We start from the raw sequence: 23,351 nt of genomic DNA on the forward strand, positions 1-23,351 counted from the left end.
CTTGAAAAGACACCTCCACACATGGCAAAGTTTATCCTGAAAAAGGCATGTTCAAAAAAAGGAAAGAATTTAAAACGGAGAAATAATGTATTTCTTCTATTCTAAGACACAATGGATTGTAAAATAATAGCATACATTTCTCAAAACAGTTACATACCACTTTCCTTTTCAGAATCTGATAAAAGTTTGAACTGAAACTTTCTTAACATTCAAAGTCTAGTGATTTTTCTGAACTTTTGGCCATCTCCAGTTATGCAATAGTATCAAACATGTCACTTCTCAAAGTCAGAATTCTGTTCTTTTTGACATCTTTGGGACTGACAGCATAATTCTGAGGCAAATAAAAGAACATCTGAGAATCCTCTGAATTTTGTCTTTAAACTCAGTTTCATCTTTCCTCAAATAGATGTCCCTAGAAATTAAGCAGTTTCTCTTAAAAATAAGGAACGTTTTTTAAAACATTAGTGCTTGAGTGATAATCCATCCTAAGTCATGAGTCAGTCATAGGTAACCTCCATTATCTCTCAAACTCTACAATGTACTCCTAAGATTTAGCAATTTCTATTGCTTTTAACTGTATTATTTATCTTGGAACAGGCTATTTCCTACATATAAAATAATCCTTGTAGCACACTCTTTTTGAGAAAGATACAGAAAATAATTACATATCTAAATGTAACTTAAAATTCAGCCATGTGTAATGTTGTCAGTGCAAATAACTTTAATCTGATGATAAATGGTTGAAAAGACACCTCCATGCATGGCAAAGTTTATATATATGCAGGCAATGACATCTGCGACAGCACTTGGTGAATTTCTTTTGACATTAAGAACTACAAAGGACCATCAAAAATATTTAATGGTGTAGCTGGGCGCGGTGGCTCACGCCTGTAATCCCAGCACTTTGGAAGGCCGAGGTGGGTGGATCACAAGGTCAGGAGATCGAGACCATCCTGGCTAACATGGTGAAACTTTGTCTCCACTAAAATACAAAAAACTAGCTGGGTGTGATGGTACGTGCCTGTAGTCCCAGCTACTTGAGAGGCTGAGGCAGAGGAATCGCTTGAACCCGGGAGGCGGAGGTTGCAGGGAGCCAAGATCACTCCAGCCTGGCTACAGAGCGAGACTCTGTCTTAAAAATGTATATATATATATACATACTTAATGGTGCTGAGAAGAAGTTTATCTTAGAGTTGAACAACTATGGTATTAGACAATTCATGTATTAAAAAAAAATTTTTTTTTGAGACAGAGTCTCGCTCTGTTGTCCAGGCTAAAGTGCAGAGAGGCATGATCTCGGCTCACCGCAACCTCCACCTCCCGGGTTCAAGTGATTCTCCTGCCTCAGCCTCCCGAGTAGCTGGGATTACAGGCACCTGCCACCACACCCAGCTAAATTTGTATCTTTTGTAGAGACGGGGTTTCACCATGTTGGCCAGGCTGGTCTCGAACTCCTAACCTCAAGTGAACCGCATGCCTTGGCCTCCCAAAATGCTGGGATTACAGGCATGGGCCACGGCACCCAGCCTATGTATAAAAATTATAGTTCAGCCCAGGCAACACAGTGAGACCTCATCTTTACAAAAAATAAATTAAGCATGGTGGTGTGTACCTATAATCCCAGCCATTCAGGAGGATGAGGCAGAAGGATCCCTTAAGCCTGGGAGGTCATGGGTGCAGTGAGCCATGATCATGCCACTGCACTCCAGCCTGGGTGACGGAGCAAGACCCTGTCACTGCAAAATAAAAAAAAAAAATGTTAGGGAAAAAATGGTATCTGATAAAGTGGAGTACAGAGCAAATTCAGTAATTGAGGACAACAAGGTTAATACAAAAGCAATACAGGATATGTGGCACTGCTTTTCAAAGTGTAGTCCACGGACCACCAGTATCACCCAATCACTTGTCAAGTGGTCAACAGATAGATGGTGTAGTAATTTCTTTTTTCTTTTTTTTTGTTTTTGTTTTATTTGTATTTATTTATTTTGAGACGGATTCTCACTCTGTCACTAGAGTGCAGTGGCACAATCTTGACTCACTGAAACCTCCACCTCCTGGGTTCAAGCGATTCTCCTGCCTCAGCCTCCCAAGTAGCTGGGACTACAGGCGCATGCCACCATGCCCAGCTAATTTTTGTATTTTTAGTAGAGACGGGGTTTCACCAAGTTGGCTAGGATGGTCTCAATCTCTTGACCTCGTCATCCACCCACCTCGGCCTCCCAAAGTGCTGAGATTACAGGGGTAAGCCACCATGCCCGGCCAATGGTGTGGTAATTTCTAAGGAAAATCAATAAAATAATATTTTCATATACATCTGAAGTGTAATATTAATAACTTTTCACAGAAATACTGAAGTAATCTTAAAGGCTGTGGAGGTGCCATAGCGACTGCTATAATTCAGTCAATTCACTGGCTCCCAAGTTTACCACACCTAACATCTGTTCATAATGAAAAATTTTAAGTCTCTTCATTATATTGAAATTATATTAATAGTCTACATAACTTAAAAAATTACAATGTCCTAACTATAATATGGGGAATAAAGAAAAGGAAGCTGATTCATAATAAAACACTATTTAATATATTAAAACTCGAGCACCAATACACTAGGAAATAACATGATATAATAAAATGCTTGCATCAATTTGAAACATCACCATGAATGTGACAGCAACAAATGCAGACTGAATCAGGTGTGTCGAATGGTGACTACGATACCATGAGGAGTACTGCTGTAGGTGATGCATTCTACCAAAATGGCAAACTCTTGGTAAAGCCTTAAATGAAAAAACATTACTCACTCCTTGATTTACACAACAGTGCCATTCATAGAAAATGTAGTTTATCATGTAAAAAATGATTTGTGTTTATATGTAAAATATTTTAGACTTAATTAAAGGAGCTTCAAACACCATATGAGACAGAATAGTTATTCGCTGTAGCACTTTCCTGCACACTGCAAGACATCTAGCAGACCTAAACCCTGTCCATTAAATGCCTGTAACGACCTCTACTATGGTGCCAAACAAAAATGTTCTCATGAATTTCAAAAATGCACACCAGAGAATGGTATTACCACAGCTGAGAACTACTGAGCTAAACGGGTATATATGACTAGGTTGGATATTTTAAAAATCCTTTGCTTGCTACTATTTACTTCTTATGTTAGCATTTTCGCTACTACACAGTATGACTTTGTAGCTGCAATTCACCATAATGGATCAACAGAAAAGTAGTTATGAAAATGGAAACTACTACATCTAAGCATACTACAAATATATGTGATTAAACATGACTCAAGTACAAACAAGAATGAGAACATATATGTTCTGGAACAAACAAATTTCAAATGTGATGATTTCAAATACACAGCTGAGAATCCAAAAATAGGAATATCTGAAAACTGGATTTCACTGGACCAGAAACTACTCACACTAGCATGTTGTCCAAAATGAAAATTTGTCAGTGACATAAAGCCATTGAATCTTTCATACTGTTTTCAACAAATGTAACCAAAAATGTTTAGCTTACTGTAAAGGATGCAGACCGTAAAAGAAACGTTCAGTTTTAAATTATATTGTCAACATGGAAAAAAGAACACATCTTCAGATTCAGAATAAAAGCAAAGTAATAAAGAAAAAAAAGGGCCAAGTGCAGTGGCTCATGCCTGTAATCCCAGCACTTTGGGAGGCTGAGGCGGGTGGATCACCTGAGGTCAGGAGTTTGAGACCAGCCTGACCAACATGGAGAAACCCCATCTCTACTAAAAATACAAAATTAGCTGGTCGTGGTGGCGCATGCCTGTAATCCCAGCTACTCGGGAGGCTGAGGCAGGAGAATCACTTGAACCCGGGAGGCAGAGGTCACGGTAAGCAGAGATTGAGCACTCCAGCCTGGGCAACAAGGGTGAAACTCGGTCTCAGAAAAAAAGAAAGAAAAAAGATACAAAGATAAATGCAAAAATCAAACTGGGAAGAACAGAAAGCAGAGTCTTGAGAGATGTCTGTACAGCAATGTTCACAGCAGCATTATTCACAATAGCCAAAGGGTGGAAGCAACCCATGCCCAGTGATGAAAGAATGGGTAAGAAAAATGTGGCCTATCTATACATTCAAATATTACTCAGCTTTAAAAAAAAAAGTTAATTCTTAAATTCTGATACATGCTACAACAGGGATGAACCCTGAAGACATGATAAGTGAAGTATGCCAGTCACAAAAGGACAAATAAAGGATTCCATTTATGTGACCTAGCTAGAGCAGTCAAATTCATAGACAGTGGAATGGTGGCTGCCAGGGGCTCAGTGAGAGGAAAATGAAGGTTGCTGTTTAATAAGTACAGAGTTTCAGTTTAAGAAGATGAACTTTGGGAGGCGGAGGCGGGCAGATTGCCTCAGCTCAGGAGTTCAAGACCAGCCTAGGCAACATGGTGAAACCTTGTCTCTACTAAAACACAAAAAAAAACAGCCGGGCATGGCGCCAGGCACCTATAGTCCCAGTTATTCGGGAGGCTGAGACAGGAGAATCGCTTGAACCCAGGAGGCAGAAGTTGCAGTGAGCTGAGATCATGCCACTGCACTCCAGCCTGGGCGACAGAGTGAGACTCCGTCTCCAAAAAAAAAAAAAAAAAAAGAAAAAGTTCTGGAGGTAAACAGTGATGATGACTGCACAACAATGTGAATACACATAATACCACATGACAGTACATTTAAAAACGATTAAAATGGTAAATTTTATGTTATATATACATTTTACCACAGTTTTTTAAAAAGTAAAAAGAAAAAAAGCTGGCAAAGTAGAAAGCAGAATTGACATAAAATCTGTTGACAAATGAAAGTGATAAATCACTGAAAGTACAATCATCCCTTGGTATCCTGGTATCCACGGGGGATTGATTCCAGGATCCCCCTTGGATAACAAAATTCACATATGCTAAAGTCCTTTATATAAAATGGCCAGGTGCAGTGGCTCACAGCTGTAATTCCAGCATTTTGGGAGGCTGAGATGAGTGGATCATTTGAGGTCAGGAGTTCGAGACCAGCCCGGCCAACGTGGTGAAACCCTGTCTCTACTAAAAATACAAAAATTAGCTGGGTGTGGTGGTGCACGCCTGTAATCCCACCTACTCGGGCGGCTAAGGCAGGAGAATCACTTGAACCTGCAAGGCGGAGGTTGCAGCGAGCCGAGATTGTGCCACTGCACTCCAGCCTGGGTGACAAGAATGAAACTCCGTCTCAGGGAGGGATAAAAAAAAAGGGCACAGTATTTGCATATAACCTGCACATATCCTTCCATATACTTTAAATCATCTCTACATTACTTATAATAGCTAATACAATGTAAATGCTATATAAATACAGTTGAATATTCCTTATCTGAAATGCTTGAGACCAGAAGTGTTTGGATCTGGGATTTTTCCGATTTTGGAATATTTGCATTACATATTTACTGGTTCAACATCCCTAATTTAAAAATCTGAAATGCTCAAATGAGTATGTCCTTTGAGCATCATGGCACTCAAAAAGTTTCAAAATTTAGAGCACTTCAGATTTCTGGATTAGGGATACTCAACCTGTTGTTATGCTGTATTTTTAAAGAATGTGTGTTGTTTTATCATTGTATTGTTATTATTTTCTTTTCCAAAAATTCTGATCCATGGTTGGTTGAATCCAATAATGCAGAACCCACAGATACAGAGGGCTGACTATATTAACAAAATTTAAACAGGAGGACTCTCAATTTGGAACATGAAGTTGTAACTGCTACAGTAACTGTCCTCCCACTATAAACAGCTAGAAAACCAGACAATACACATGAAATAACAAGTTTTAGACACTGGGCAAAAAGTAGCACAAGACTGTGATCCCCCTCCAGGGAAAGGAAAAAAGAAGGTAAATTTTATGACTAACCAAACTTAAAGCCTGGAGACAACTCCCAGGCTTCATACTTCAGGGACAGAACACTGAAACCAAATCCAAGGGTCTCAATGCACTGAGGAGCCAACAGAGCTGGGGGAAGCTGAGGCAGCCAGAATTTGCAGGACCCAGTACTGGAGAAGCGGGGGCTGCATGCAGAGGGCTCCGGAGGTCTGGCAGAAGGGTTCCTTTCAGTCTCGGATCTCCAAGTGCTTGAGAGGAAGTCTCCCCAAGGTCAGGGAACAATCTACTGGAAAGCAATAGGGCCAACACTTCCCAGAGCTCCCACAGGGCTGGTCACTCTGACCATGAAAAAAGCACGGGGCCTTAGAAGGATCAACACCTTAGTAGGGGGGCCAAGTTAGTCCAAGGATTAAAGGCCGCTATTACTAGCCACAAAAACCTTAAAAGTAAGCTTCACAAGGATCAAACTGATCCAAACATTACTTATCTGTGTGACCAAATACAATCTGACAGTCTTTAGAGGAATACAGCAAATCCAGTGTTCAGCAATATAAAATTCACAATGTCCAGGCATACGAAGAAGTGAAAAAGACCCATATCCAGATGAAAAATTAATTGAAATAAATCTACAAATGATAGAAATAATGGAATTAGAACACAAGGACGTTAAAACAAACAATATACAGTTCATATGAATGTGATGTGGAAAGGAGACAAATAGTTTTTCTGACCCAAATGGAAACTGTAAAGATTTTAAAAGTACAGTATCTCAAATGAAAAACACATTGGCTGAGAGTAACAGCAGATGAGACCCCCTGCAGAAGGAAAGATGGTTTAACTTGAAGACACAGCAGTAAAAAGTACCCACAGTGAAGACTGAAAAAATATTAACAAAGCCTAAGTAACCTGTGGAACACGATCAAGTGGTCTAACACAGCTGAACTAGAATACAGGAAGGGCAAAAGGGAAAGCAGAAAAAAAATTTGAAGAAATAACGGCTGCAAATTTCATAATATAATGAAAACCATAAACTCACAGATCTAAGAAACTCAAAAAGCCCCAAACAAAAGAAACATACATAAAACCACATCAAGGCACATCATAACCAAAGTGCTAAAAATCAGTGGTAAAAAGAAAAACTTCAAGTGTCCAGAAGGAAAAGGCCGTATTATTCAGAGAAACAAAAATAAAAATGAGTCCGTGCACAGTGGCTTACACCTGCAATCCCAGCACTTTGGGAGGCTGAGGTGGGTGGATCATGAGGTCAGGAGTTCCAGACCAGCCTGACCAACATGTGAAACCCCGTCTCTAATAAAAATACAAAAATTAGCTGGGTGTGGTGGCACGTGCCTGTAATCCCAGCTACTCAGGAGGCTGAGGCAGGACAATCACTTGAAACCGGGAGGCGGAGGTTGCAGTGAGCCAAGATCATGCCACTGCACTCCAGCCTGGGCAACACAGCTAGACTCCATCTCAAAAAAATTAATTAATTAATTAATTAAAAAATGAAATTAGAAATCATGCAGCAAGAAGAAAATGGGAGATCTTTAAAGTACTGAAGGAAAAAAAGTCAATATAAACTTCTTCACCCAGTGATACATAGTTTTCAAATATGGAGACAAAATACTTTAGACCAATAAAAGCTGAGATAATTCATTATCAGCAGAACCCTACTACAACTAATGTTAAAGGAATTTCTCCACACAGAAGAAAAATACCAGATGGAAATGTGCATCTACAAAAAGAAATGAAGAGTGAAAGAAATGGTAAATATGGCCAGGCGTGGTGGCTCACGCCTGTAATCCCAGCACTTAGGAAGACCGAGGAAGGCGAATCACCTGAGGCCAGGAGATCGAGACCAACCTGGCCAACATGGTGAAACCCCATCTCTACTAAAAATATAAAAATTAGCTGGGCGTGGAGATGGGTGCCTGTAGTCCCAGATACTCAGGAGGCTGAGGCAGGAGAATTGATTGAACCTGGGAGGCAGAGGTTGCAGTGAGCTGAGATTGCGCCACTGCACTCCAGCCTAGATGACAGAGCGAGACCCTGTCGCAAAAAAAAAAAAAAAAAAGAATAAAAGAAATAAGTGAGTAAATGTAAAAGACATGTTTAAAACAAAAATAATAATGTATTGTGTAACATAACATACAAAGAATTAAAATGCCTGATAACAGCAGCACAAAGGCAGCAGTGTGGTAGACTATATTTTCCAAAGACTGCCTCCTTTCCCAGCCCACATGCCTTGCTTCCAATATGGCATCAATATTCCTGTCGATGTCACACTGGAAGCAGAGCATGTGGGCTGGGATACGAGAGGGTGTGTGTGATGTGGGGGAGAGTTTGGGATAGGAGAGGATGTGTGAGTGTGAGTGTGTGTGTGTGTGCTGGTGGGGTAGGAGGTGGTTATGCACCTTCTCCTTGAATTCAGACAAACCTCCGTAACTGCCTCCACCTAAAAAATATAGCAGAAGTGACACTAGTCAAGGCTGGGTCACAAAAGCCAATATAGCTTCTATTTGGCTCTCTTCTCTTAGGACATTTGCCTTTGGAACCCAACTACCAGATTGTAAGAAAATTTAGGCCACATAAAAAGGTCATGTGCACGGGTTCCGGCCAACAGACTAAGCTAAGGTCTGAGCCAGCATCAACTGCTTAACATGCAAGTGGGTAAACCTTCAGATACTCCCAGCCCCCAGCTTTGAGCTGCCTCAGCAGAGGACACAGGCATCATGAAGCAAAGACAGAACATCTCTGCTGTGCCCCATCCAAATGCCTAACCCACAGACTAAATTGGCAATAGTGTTGTTTTAAGGCACTAATTACTGGTGGCCTTTTATGCCATGAAAATAACTAAAACAGAAAAAAATTAAAATAGAAAAAATTTAAAATTTTTAAAATTATGCTTAAGTTACAGGTGAAATAGTATAACATTATTTCAACATAGATGGTGATGAAGATGCATACTATACACCCTGTATCAACCACTAAAAATATAAAACAAAGATGTGAAGCTAGTAAATCAAGAACAGACCAGCCTGGCCAACATGGTGAAACCCCATCTCTACTAAAAATGCAAAAAATTAGCCAAGCATGGTGGCGGACGCCCGTAATCCCAACTACTCCAGAGGCTGAGGCAGGAGAATTGTTTGAACCCCTGAGGTGAAGGTTGCAGTCAGCCGAGACTGTGCCACTGCCCTCTAGCCTGGGCGACAGAGACTCCATTTCAAAAAAAAAAAAAAGAGATAAAATGGAATCACAAAAATACTTCATGTTTTAAAAAGGCAGGAAAACATGGAAAAGGAGAAAAAAGATGAAAAATAAATTCCAAGAAGGAAAAAAATTTTAACATAAGCATATCAATAATTACATCAAATGTAAATGATACACCTAGTCTAAAAGGCAGATTGTCAAACTGGACAAAAAAGTAAGATCCGGCCACATGCTATGTATAAGAAACATAGTTTAAATATAAATACACAGATTAAAAAGATAAAGAAAATACATACACCATACAGGCACTAAGCTGGAGTGGTGTCAATATCAACAAAGTAGACTTTGGAACAAGGAATATTAGGAGGGATATTACAAAATGATTAGTGATTGGCAAAACAAACAGACCCCCCCCACCCAAATCACCAAGGACTACTGACCAACTTGACTTCACAGATACTTATACAATATTTCACCCAGTAACAGCAGAATATACATTATTTTCAAGTGTACTTAAAACATTCACCAACATGGATCATATTCTAGACCACCAAAAACACACAACCTCCATCCCTCAATTTAAAAAGACTGAAATAATACAAAGCATATTCTCTAACTACAGGAGAATTAAACTAGAAATTAATAGAAGAAAAAACACTTCTAAATAACTCATGGGTCAAAGGAAATAATAAGGGAAATTAGAAAATATTTTGACTTGAATGGGCCAGGCACAGTGGCTCACGCCTGTAATCTCAGCACTTTGGGAGGCTGAGGCGGGCAGATCATGAGGTCAGGAGCTCGAGACCATCCTGACTAACACGGTGAAACCCCGTCTCTACTAAAAAAAAATACAAAAAATTAGCTGGGCGTGGTGGCGGGCACCTGTAGTCCCAGCTACTTGGGAGGGTGAGGCAGGAGAATGGCGTGAACCTGGGAGGCAGAGCTTGCAGTGAGCCGAGATCGCGCCACTGCACTCCAGCCTGTGTGACAGAGCGAGACTCTGTCTCAAAAAAAAAAAAAAAAAAAAGAAGAAAGAAAATATTTTGACTTGAATGAAAATCAAGCAGACCAAAATGTACAGTATGTACAGCATGCAGCTAAAAAGTGCTTAGAGGGAAACGTATAATTTTCAATACCTATACTGGAAAAAAAGAAAGTTTTCAAATTAATGATCTAAGCTTCTACCTTGAGAAACACATACACACACACACACACACACACACACACACACACAAATTAAATGCAAAGAAAGAAGGACGTGATAAACATGAGTGCAGACATCAAAAAAATGGAAAAACACTAGAGAAAAAGCAATGAAACTAAAAGCAATTCTTTGAAAAGATAAAATCATCTAGCTAAACTGATCAGGAGAAAGGGAGAAGTACAAATTACTAACACTAGGAATGAAAGAAGGAACATCACAACAGACGTTACAAACATTTAAAAGGTAGAAAAAAAAACCTATAAACTTATACAAACAACAAATTAGACTACGTAGATGAAATGGAAAGAGACAAACTACCAATTTCAACATAAATTGGGATAAAGATACATACAAACCCTAAATCAATATATAGCCTAAACAGGCCAATATCTGGTAACAAAATTGAAATTGTAGCTTAAAATCCTCCCACAAAGAAAACTCCAAGTCCAGATGACTTCACTAGTGATCTACCAACCATTTGAAGAAAGAATTATCAATTCTACACCATCTTCCAGAAGAGGACAGAAAACACTTCCCAACTCATTCTATAAGGCCAGCATTACCCTGATACCAAAACTAAAGACCTAAAAAAATCACAGACCAGTGTGTCTCATGAATAGAGACATGAAAATCTGTAACAAAATGTTAGCAAATCAAACCCTGCCATACAGAAAAAGCATAACCCGGCCAGGAGTGGTGGCTCGCGCCTGTAATCCCAGCACTTTGGGAGGCCGAGGCGGGTGGATCACCCAAGGTCAGGAGTTCAAGACCAGCCTGGCCAACATGACGAGACCCTGTCTCTAGTAAAAATATAAAAATTAGCTGGGTGTGGTGGCAGGCACCTGGAGTCTCAGCTACTCGGGGGGCTGAGGCAGGAGAATCGCTTGAACCTGGGAGGTGGAGGGTGCAGTGAGCCGAGATCGTGCCATTGCACTCCAGCCTGGGCAACAAGAGTGAAACTCCGTCTTAAAAAAAAAAAAGAAAGAAAGAAAGAAAAAGCATAACACGTTATGATTTCAGGAATGCAGGGCTGGTTTAATATTTGAAAAGCAATCAGTGTAGGCTGGGCATGGTGGCTCACGCCTATAATCCCAACTACTTGGGAGCCTGAGGCAGGAGAATCGCTTGAATCTGGGAGGCAGAGGTTGCAGTGAGCCACTGCACCACTGCACTCCAGCCTGGGCAAGAGAGCAAGACTCTTGTCTTAAAAAAGAAAAAAAAATTAATTAAACAGGAAAATAAAAATATCAGAGTGAGAAATAAGAAAGGAATTGTAAAGGCCAAAATAAAATGTATTTCTACATACCAGTAATGACCAGCTAGGAAAAAAATGAAATATCTTAATTAAAACAACAAAAAGTATAAAATATTTGGTAATTAATGTAGTATTTAAAAAACAAAAAACAAAAAACAAAAACTTGGTCAGTTGCAGAGAAGGAATATACCAGAATATCATGAAGATTTTGTCCCAGTTAAGTAACAGCTGTAACATATTTCCAATGAAATCATTAACAAGATACTTTACGGAACTTGGGAAAACTTGGAAAAATAAGTGGGCAAAAATATCAAAGAACACTCTGTAAAAACATAAAGATAGGATTAGCCCTACTGAATACTAAAAGCAATGCCTAATCAAGGGATTGGGTCTCAATTCAGCTGATAAATGACTTTCTCTTACAAGCTAAACGCTAATGGGCTGCTGATTCATTCATTTGCTGACCATCTCTGACACGAGTTTCTGTTCAATATTTAAATAATACGCCCATAATAGAGACAATCTTTCATTTCCTATATCACAGCTTATGTTTATCAGTGGCAGAGCTAAAATGAACAATTCAGGACCAAGATAAAATCCTTAAACTCAAAGCCCATATGTAAGAAGTATTGCTGGTCAAAAATTATTTTTTCTTAAATTATCTATGCCTTAAATCCTTCTGTTGTGTTATCTTACCATATCATACACACTGAAATAAAGCTACAGCCTTGCATTCCTTGTAGGGTTAAGAATAAGACGATAAGGCCGGGCGCAGTGGCTCATACCCGTAATCCCAGCACTTTGGGAGGCTGAGGCGGGTGGATCACCTGAGGTCGCGAGTTTAAGACTAGCTCGACCAACATGGAGAAACCCCGTCTCTACATAAAATACAAAATTAGCTGGGTGTGGTGGCGGGCGCCTGTAATCCCAGCTACTTGGGAGGTTGAGGCAGGAAAATCACTTGAACCTGGGAGGCGGAGGTTGTGGTGAGCCGAGATCGCGCCATTGCACTCCAGCCTGGGCAACAAGAGCAAAACTCTGTCTCAAAAAAAAAAAAAAAAAAAAAAGAATAAGATAATAAAACTAAAATAAAATAAAGCTACAGTTTAATACCTGTCATGTAGACAGGGGAAGCTGCAGTCACATGCAATTCACCTCTGGAAAAGCACATTACTTTTGAGTTACATCATCACAGCAGACTTTGAAGTATAAACTGACATTCCTCATCTCCCCCGCTCCAAAAGCTGCACACCTGGTCTGTGTTAGAGAATTCTACGGACTGATTCTCTTCTTCACCTAGTTAGGATTTAACTTACTGTCCTTTGATTTGAAACAAGAAAATAGAATGCAACTGTGAGTGGTACTTCCCAAAATAATGTTAAAGGAGAACTGTTCCAGGTATTGTTAACACGCTGAGCAAACTCTTCCCTTAAGCAAGTAAGCGTCTTAATATTTAAAGCAAAATTAAACAGAGATTTTTACCGCCCAACTTCTCATAGCTCATAATATGCTAATTCAGACCAAATTTCCAAGAGAGGGATTTAATATGCAGCCTTTTTCAAGCTTACTTGATTAAAGGTTCTCATTATCACAGAGAACCATTAATTGCAGAGTCAAAAATACCTGTGTTCAAATGCTACATGTGCCACTCATTAACTATAAAATCTTGGGTAAGTAATCAGTTTTTCATCTGTAAAATGGGAAAAACACCACCTACATTTCAGGGGACTGATTTAAAGGTAAAAGTTATATATATACACATGCAGTCAAATGTGGATTTAAAAAACTTACATATATATACAGAGTTTAACAATGTGCCTCACAAATTTTCAATAAAGTTGCAATCTGCCCTAAAAGCAGAAGTTGGTGATACTTGGAATTCCCATACTCCACCTCTGTTCCCTGCTTTTATCTTTTTTTTTTTTTCACTTTTCATTCCTCGGTTTAACAATCCTACTTGATTTTCTTTTAATTTTAACTGTTAGTGAAGGGAGCCATGTTCAAAAGCTTTCCTACATATTGACTCACACCACTCAACAGGCTACTGGAGGACAGGATGAAAAAAAAACACTGGGGCTGAGACACATTATTGAGTGAAAAAAGCCAGATAACGAATCTCAGCGTATATGGTACACTACTATCCTATTAAAAATGAATTACACAAAAGAATGAAGTTGGACCTTTACTATTATACAAAAATAGTCTCAAAAATGGATCAAAAACATACAAATAAGAGCTAAAACTAAAAACCCTTAGAAGAAAAAAGAGAAGGGCTTCATGACATTGGATTTGGCAGATTTCATGGATGTGACACCAGAGAACACACAACAAAAGACAGAAAAATTGAACCTTATCAAAAGTAAAAACTTGTGCACCAAAGGCCACTATTAACAAAATCAAAAGACAACCTACATAATGGGAGAAATTATTTGCAAATCGGCCGGGTGTGGTAGCTCATACCTGTAATCCCAGCACTTTGGGAGGCTGAAGTGTGCAGATCATGAGGTCAGGAGATGGAGACCATCCTGGCTAACACGGTGAAACCCATCTCTACTAAAAATACAAAAAATTAGCTGAGCATGGTGGCACGTGCCTCCAGTCCCAGCTACTCGGGAGGCTGAGGCAGGAGAATCGCTTGAACCCGGAAGGCAGAGGTTGCAGTGAGCCGAGATCACACCACTGCACTCTAGCCTGGGCGACAGAGAGAGACTCCGTCTCGGGGGAAAAAAAAATTATTTGCAAATCATATAACTGATAAGGGATTGATATCCAGAATATACTAATAACTACAGCTCAACAACAATCAACCCAGCCAAAAAAAAAAATGGACAAAGGACGTGAATAAACACTACTCCAAAGATACACAAATGGTCAATAAACGTGAACAGATGCTCAGCATCACTAATCACTAGAGAAATATAAATCAAAATCACAATGAGATACCACTTCATACCCATTAGGATGGCTATTGAAAGAAAACACACACACACACAAAATTCAACTAGTGTTGGCAAGGATGTGGAAAAACTGAAACCCTTATACATTGCTGGTGGGAATGTAAAATTTGGCAGTCACTATGGAAAATGGTAATGGTGGATCCTCAAAAAATTAAAATGTTGCCCAGGTGCGGTGGCTCCCGCCTGTAATCCCAGCACTTTGGGAGGCCGAGGCGGGAGGATCATCTGAGGTCAGGAATTCAAGACTAGCCTAACCAACATGGTGAAACCCTGTTGCTACTAAAAATACAAAAATTAGCTGGGCGTGTTGGTGTGTGCCTGTAATCCCAGCTACTTGGGAGGCTGAGGCAGGAGAATCACTTGAACCAGGAGGCAGAGGTTGCAGTGAGCCAAGACAGCGCCACAGAACTCCAGCCTGGGCAAAAGAGTGAGACTGCCTCAAAAAAAAAAAAAAAAAAAGAGAAGAGAAGAGAAGGAAAAAAATTAAATGTTGAATTGCCATACGAGATTGAGCAATCCCACTTCTAGGTTTATATCCAAAAGAACTGAAAGCAGGGTCTCGAACAGATATTTGTACACCAATATTCATTGTATTACTCATAGTAACTAAAAGGTGGAAGCAACTACTGCCCATCAACAAATGAACAGATACACAAAATGTGGTCTTACCCATACAGTCAAGTATTATCCAGCCTTTAAAAGGAAGAAAATTCTGACACACGCTAAATATAGATGAAGCTCGGGGGGCATTACTCTAAGTGAAAAAGCCAATAACAAAAAAAAAAAGAAACAAAATATTGTTAGATTCCATTTATATGAGGTACCTAGCATAGTCAAATTCACAGAGACAGAAAGGAGAACAAAGGTTGCCAGGGTGTGGGGAGAGAGGGGAATGAGGAGTTAAAAGTTTAATGGGTACAGTAGTTCCGATTAAACTTATCTATGGTTTCACCTTCCATGCAGTCAACCGTGGTCTGAAAATATTAAATGGAAATTTCCAGAAAAAAGTCGTAAGTTTTAAAGTGTGGACCATTCTGAGTAGTATGATGAAGTCTCATGCCATCCTGCTCCCTCCTGCCTGGGATGTCACTCATCCCTCTGTCTACCATCTTCATGCTATATACATACACTACCCCTACCCACCAGTTTGACATTTGATAACCATCTTGGTTATCAGATTGAATAAACAGTATATACAGGGTTCAGTACTATCGGCAGTTTCAAGGTATCCACTGGGAGTCTTGGGATGTGGATAAGAGGGGACTACTGTATACAGTGTCAATCTGGGAAGATTAAAAAGTTCTGGAAATGGATGGTGGTGAAGGTTGCACAATAATGTGCATGTACTTAATGCCACTGAGTTCAGTGACACTTAAAATGGTCAATTTTATGCTATGTGTATTTTACTGCAATATAACAGGGGTACTGCATAGGACTTTGTATACACATGTGTTTTCATGCACACATTTCTAGAAAGATAGAAAGAAAACTGGTTATAAGCTTTCTTGAGACAGGGCAACTGGAAGATCAGGAATAAAAGTGATATAATAAAAACTAGAGAGATTGAATACAGTGGTCTCCTATGTATCCACAAAAACTGATTATATATTAAATGGTATCAAAAGACATTCAAGATATATTTAATTTTAAAAAGCATATAACAAAACACTATTTACCATTTTAACATTACTTTCATAAACACACATACAAAAACAATCTCCACCTGGGCACAGTGGCTTATATCTGTAAACCCAGTGCTGTGGGAAGCCAAGGCGAAAGATTGCTTGAGGCTAGGAGTTCAAGGTTACAGTTAACTATGATGGCACCACTGCACTCCAGCCTGGGCAACAGAGCTAGACCCTGGCTTTTTAAAACCAATCACAGAGGTAATGCTAGAGATCGTTGAGGAAAGCAGGGACTATTTTATCAACATATAGTTCTGGGACAATTGGATTCCTAACTAATCCATACACAGATATATAAAACTTAATTCTAGAGGCCGGGCGTGGTGGCTCACAACTGTAATCCCAGCACTTTGGGAGGCTGAGGCAGGCAGATCACGAGGTCAGGAGATCAAGACCATCCTGGCTAACACGGCGAAACCCCGTCTCTACTAAAAATACAAAAAAATTAGCCAGGCGTGGTGGCGGGCACCTGTAATCCCAGCTATTCAGGAAGCTGAGGCAGGAGAATGGCATGAACCTGGCAGGCAGAGCTTGCAGTGAGCCGAGATCGCACCACTGCACTCCAGCCTGGGCGACAGAGCAAGACTCCCGTCTCAAAAAACAAACAAACAAACAAAAAACAAACTTAATTCTAGATGGATTAAAAACTTCTATGTGAAAGGCAAAGCTTGAACTCTAACCTATTCCTATTTAGAGGAACATATAGGAGACTATCTTCAAGACTTCAGGCTAGAGAAGAATTTCTTAGGACACAAAAAGCACTCACCATAAAAGATAATGGTAGATTCTACTCCCAGGTATATAAACCCTAAGAAAACTCTGAAACATAAATACCAGGAAAATATACAAGAATGTTCACAAGACTCCTCTGAAATAGCCTCAAACTGGAAACTAAATATTTATCAGAACAGATAAATAATGTGATTATATATTCACAGGATGGAACATTATACAGCACTGGAAAGGAATGCAACAACTGGGACAAATCTTAGAAAAAATATTGACTGAAAAAAACAAATTATAAAAGACAATATATGTCATCTTTATAAACTTATTTAAAAAAGCAAAACAAAACATGTTGTACAGTAAAACATTAAAATGTAGACGTAAGCCGGGCGTGGTGGCTCATGCCTGTAATACCAACACTTTGGGAGGCCAAGGTGGGTGGATCACCTGAGGTTGGGAGTTCAAGACCAGCCTGATCAACATGGAGAAACCCTGTCTCTATTAAAAATACAAAATTAGCCGGGCGTGGTGGCGCATGCCTCTAATCCCAGCTACTCAGGAGGCTGAGGCAGGCGAATCGCTTGAACCCAGGAGGCGGAGGTTGTGGTGAGCTGAGATCACGCTACTGCACTCCAGCGTGGGCAACAACAGCGAAACTATGTCTCAAAAAAAAAAAAAAAAAAATGCAGATGTAAATCTAGTTTTTTTAAAAAGCAAAGGGATGGTAAACAAAATTCACGACAGTGGTTACACCTAAACGGGGACAGGGGACAGAGGCATGAGGAAGGACAAAGGAGAGTACAAAGGGGGCTTCCAGAACATTGGTAATCCTATAGTTTCTTTAACTGGTGAAGTTCATGAGCGTTCATTATGCTACACATACAAATCATATATTCTTCTGTAGACATTAAATATCACATAAAAATGAAAGCACAGTATAAACCTGTTCCTGCTTTTGTGTAAAAAATGATCTACAGTTCCTATATGTAATGCCCAAAAGGGTAACATGAAATGTTACCATAAATTTTCTAAGTAAGTTAAATATTAGGTAATTAGGATTTTTCTTTTTTTACTTCTATTTGGGATTTCTGGGTTTCAACAACTTGTATAATTTAAAAAAAAAAAAAAACCAACTGTCACAATATATGGATTTTTTTTAAACCTGAAAGATATGCAACAAATTTAATGAAAGATCTCTCTGTGTTGGTAGAATTGTGGGTAGTTTTTCTATTCTTTTTGTGTTTATCTACACTTTTCAATATTTTCACCAATAAAATATGGTATTACAGTTTCATAATTCCTTATCTGACACCCTTATGGCTGGAGATGTTTCAAAATTATGGCTAGAGTTTTTTTGGGTTTTTTTTTTGGGTTTTTTTTTTTTTTTGGCTTTCAGAAAGGTAACAATGGTGTGTGAAGTGGGTGACAAGTCACACCTATTCAATAAATAGATACTAGAAATAACTTCAGTTAAGGTCTTGTTTTGTTACCAAAGAGGTCTAAACCAGATTTTATCCCCTAAAGGAATGGCATTATTTAGTGTAAGTAAGGCTTCCAATTCCGCCCCTACTGGTCCAACTAATTTGGAGCTTAATCACTGCAGACTGCACTCAGTTGGGAACAAACAAAAAAACCCTTATATTAATACTTTGTAATACCAACAAATCAAAGCATTTCAAACTCAACTAAAAGACATTTCTTTCTTAGTAAGGCTAAGGCTTTCAGACACATTTCAAAAATGAAGCTAATGAACAAGTGTCAAAGTATAAAATATTTGGAAATTATCAAAATAATAATGTATACAAAAACTCAACAGAACCACCAAATAAACTGATTAAAAAGATAGTACCACTTACGGTGTTCTTTAATTCCATAATTGTGCACGGGACCTACAACACATAAGTATTTCACATGGCCTTCAAATTCAAACAAATCAGTGAACTCACAAATGGGCCCTGGGTCCATATTATCACAAATGCCAGGGTATAGCATGTAAATTAAGTCATGATCGTTGTTCTCTTGGTCAGAATACCATTTATGGACTCCAACTCAAAAGCATGTGAGTACCACTTAGAATAACTACATGTCCTTAAGGCATCTAATAGTCAGTAATAATGCAATGGTCAAATCCTGTTAAAGTATTTGTATCTAAACATGCAAGTGCCCATAAAAAGTTGTTTTTTTAATCCTCTGTCACTGGAGCACTGATCAGCTATCCCTATCTTCAACCATCCTTGAGGCAATGACCTACAACTATGGTTACTAAGGGATCACAACTCAATTGCCTCCAGGAGCTAGGTAAACAGCATAAATGAGTGAGGTAGAGATTCAGTGTACAGTAAACAGAAAGTGATGGGGACTCAGCCAAATTAGAAAATGTAAGCTGTGAGTAAAGTCATTCAAACATTAAAACTTTTTTTTTTTTTTTTTTTTTTGAGACAGAGTTTTGCTCTTGTTGCCCAGGCTGGAGTGCAATGGCGCGATTTCAGCTCACCGCAACCTCCACCTCCTGGGTTCAAGCAATTCTCCTGCCTCACACTCCTGAGTAGCTGGGATTACAGGCATGTGCCACCATGCCCAGCTAATTTTGTATTTTTAACCTGTCCATGTTGGTCAGGCTGGTCTCGAACTCATGACCTCAGGTGATCTGCCTGTCTCAGCCTCCCCAAGTGCTGGGATTACAGGCGTGAGCCACCACGCCCGGCCAAAAAAAAAAAAAATTTTTTTTTCCAAATTCAGTCCTTCTAGTAATCAACTGACTGACTAGGAGACACAATCTATACAACAGCCCACTCTGAAATCTCCTTGTCTCTAAATTGTCTTAATTACATCTGCTGGCATTTGACACCCAGTCTCTAACACTATAAACTTCTGATGAAAAAGGATGTGGTTTATTCTATTTTAGTTACTATAGCAGAGCCCCAAAAGGCATAAAGTCATTCATTAAACACAGAGATCAAATTCACAACCTTACTCTGTCTAACCAAGTGAGCTGTGTGGTTAGGCAGTACAAGTGGTATATAACTGATACACAACAGGCCAAAGCAGACCTTGAACACCTATAACCATCAGAACAAGGACCAAACGATAACAGTTCCAACAGATTTACTTGCTGAGAACTATAGAATCTGGTACATCTCTAATGAGGAGGGAGGCAATTTTCTTCCTCCTGTGAATTTAACTGCTCGCAACCAAAAATCTGAGCTATGAGGAGCTTCCTCTCTGAAACCCTCTAAACACCCTCTTCCCCACTGAAAGAAAACCCGGCAGTAACAATATAAAACTAAAGAACTAGAAATACAGACTGATCACACACTCATCTGTTTTTCCTAAAGACACACAGATCATACATGTGAGCAAAAATCTAGATCATAAGTATTTACCACCTCTGGAACCGCACTGTTCAATATGGGAGCTGCTAGCCACATGTAGCTACTGAGCACTTGAAATGTGGCTAGTCTGAATTGAGAAGATCTTGTACTAAAAAAAGTTAAAATGTCTCATTAATTTGTATATTGATTACATACCATCAGTGATATAATAATTTTTTTTTTTTTGAGACAGAATTACCCTGTCACCCAGGCTGGAATGCAGTGGCACGATCTCGGCTCACTGCAACCTCTGCCTCCCAGGTTCAAGCAATTCTTGTGCCTCAGCCTCCCACCATCACGCCCGGCTAATTTTTGTATTTTTAGTAGAGATGGGGTTTCACCATACTGGCCAGGCTGGTCTCGAACTCCTGACCTCATGATCCACCCATCTCGGCCTCTCAAAGTGCTGGGATTACAGGCGTGAAATAAGTATTTTTATGTAAATTAGTATCACCTTTTTAAAAAAACTTTTTAATGTGGCTACCAGAAAACTTTACATTACATATATACCATATATTATACTTCTATTGGGCAGTGCAGCTCTAGAAAAGGTAGTATTTTACAACTAACTCCTCCAGTGATTATCCTCCTGGCAAAGAACTGACACATCAAGGCACCCCTCACCGCCACTTCCACCCACCAAACCTTCAGTCATGAAACCACTCCTAGTCCCAAGCTTACTGATGATGCAGCAGGTTGCCAGAGTAATTCGGTTAATCACTTAACCAAAGGGAAGAAACTAGTTTAACAATTATCTGAGGCTAATTTCTTTCTAAATTATTCCAGCACGCAAAAGAAATAAGAAGTAGCCTGAAGAAAAATCTGTGAACCAAAGGTGTACTAAATTTTTGTTCTTGACACAAGATTTTTAGTTGACTAAAACAGAGGTTCAACTTTGGTAGTACACTTCTAAAAACAATCAGACCTAACATTTTAAACTACTGCTTTTTTCCTCTACAAACCCTTAATTAAATATAAACACTACACAAATAAAACCACAATGAGATATGACTTTACACTCACTAGGATAGCTATAATTTAAAAGACAATAACAAGTGTTGGTGAAGACGTGGAGAAATTAGAATCTCACACATTGCTGGTGGTAATGTAAAATGGTGCAGCCGTTTTGGAAAGCTGTTTGGCAGTTTATCAAAATGTTAAAAACAGAAACTATGAGCCAGCAACTTTACTCCAAAGTATTCACCCAAGAGAAATAAAAACATACATCTGCACAAAAACTTGTATACAAATGTTCATCGCATAACTATTACTATTTTTGGTTTTTTTAGACAGAGTCTTGCTCTGTTGCCCAGGCTGGAGTGCAGTGGCACCATCTCTGCTCACTGCAACCTCTGCCTCTTGCGTTCAAGTGATTCTCCTACCTCAGCCTCCTGAGTAGCTGGGATTACAGGCGTCCACCACCACGCCCAGCTAATTTTCGTATTTTTAGTAGAGACAGGGTTTCACCACGTTGGCCAGGCTGGTCTCGAACTCCTAATCTCAGGTGATCCACCTGCCTCAGCCTTTCAAAGTGCTGGGATTACAGGCATGAGCCACCACACCTGGCCCCACATTATTCATAGCAGCCAAAATGCGGAAACTACCCAAATGCCTGTCAACTAATGAGTGCATAAGCTGAATGTGGTATAAAAAAGGAAAATTATTTGGCAATAAAGAGAATGAAGCATTGACACATGCTACAACATGGATGAGCCTTAAAAACACTGTGCTAAGTGCAAGCAGCCAGAAACAAAACAAAAGCTATGTATCATTCGATTAACAGAAAAAGAACAAATCCGTAGAGGCCAAAAGCAGACTAGTGGCTGCCAAGGGCTGGGGAGAAGGGTAATGAGCAGTAACTGCTAATATGTACAGTTTCTTTTGGGATGAAGAAAATGTTATAAAAATGATTGTGGTGACGACTGCCCAACTCTGTAGATATAATAAAAACTACTTAATTGTACACTTTAAATGACTGAATTGTACAGTATGTGAATTATATCTTATATTTTATTTTTTGAGACCGGGTCTTGCTTTGTCACCCAGGGCGGAGTACAATGGGTGCAATCTCAGCTCACTGCAACCTCCACCTCCTGGGCTCAGGCGATTCTCCTGCCTCAGCCTCCCGAGTAAATAGCTGGGATTACAGGTTCATGCCACCTCACCTGGCTAATTTTTGCATTTTTAGTAGAGATGGGGTTTCGTCATGTTGGCGAGGCTGGTCTTGAACCCCTGACCTCGGGTGAACTGCCCACCTCAGCCTCCGGAAATGCTGAGATTACAGGCATGAGCCACCACACCCGGCCCGTGAATTATATCTTTCAAAAGCTATTTATAAAATATAAACATCAGAATGAAAAACACAATGCCACAGAAAGGGACTTCTATGAAATGTGCCTATATGAAATGCTTCATTTTAGAAGAGCATGAAAAAGCGATAAGTAGCCCTATTGAAACAGAAGAGGGAACTTTAACTGTGGTAGATTGCATTAGAGGCATTAATTCCTCATCCTTTCCAGGATCTATTCCTTAGCCATATGATTTTGCAGTTCTTCCCACTAATGGGCGTAAGATTTATTTTTGTGGCTCCTTGACTTTGGCTTCAACCATATGACTTGCTTTGGCCAAAAGAATGGAGCAGAAATGGCAGTGTGCCAGTTCTAAGCCTAAACCTTAAGAGGTCTCACCTTGCCCTCTTGTGCCCCTGGCACTGCCTAGAGAAGAGCTTCCCCTATGTGGCTGCTGCCCATTCACTCTGGGCCTAAAATGAACACACTTGAAGCGGAGTCATCTCAATCAACTTACAGATCGGAAGAAGCAGAGTTGCACCAGCCAATCTGTAGATTCATAAGTATATTTTATTGTTATTTTAATCCACTGAGTTTTGGTATAATTTGTCATGCAGTGTTATTGTGGCAATAGCTAACTGATATAGTCACCAATTCTCCCACTGTGTTATGAAGAGGTCCTACAAATTAAATAGTGATTGTTATGAAGGTAGGTCCAGCCTAACACCTTGAATAATAGTTTTTCACTTAACATAAGACAACCATAAACGATGT

General features: G+C 39.5%; 1 protein-coding gene across 2 annotated transcripts in view; it reads right to left on the reverse strand.

The window, feature by feature from the left end:
- SPPL3 (signal peptide peptidase like 3) overlaps positions 1-23,351 on the reverse strand; it is a 141,849-nt gene that overhangs the window by 104,009 nt on the left and 14,489 nt on the right. The window contains exon 1 of one of the 2 annotated variants that reach the window (XM_011537925.3): positions 1-23,351. This exon is cut by the window's right edge and continues 11,736 nt beyond it. The exons of the other annotated variant lie outside the window; for it this stretch is intronic. Coding sequence (XP_011536227.1) covers positions 1-23 — 23 coding nt within the window. The 5' untranslated portion in view covers positions 24-23,351. 2 annotated transcript variants of the gene reach the window in all.

Source organism: Homo sapiens, chromosome 12, assembly GCF_000001405.40.
Source record: "Homo sapiens chromosome 12, GRCh38.p14 Primary Assembly".
NCBI lineage: Eukaryota > Metazoa > Chordata > Mammalia > Primates > Hominidae > Homo > Homo sapiens.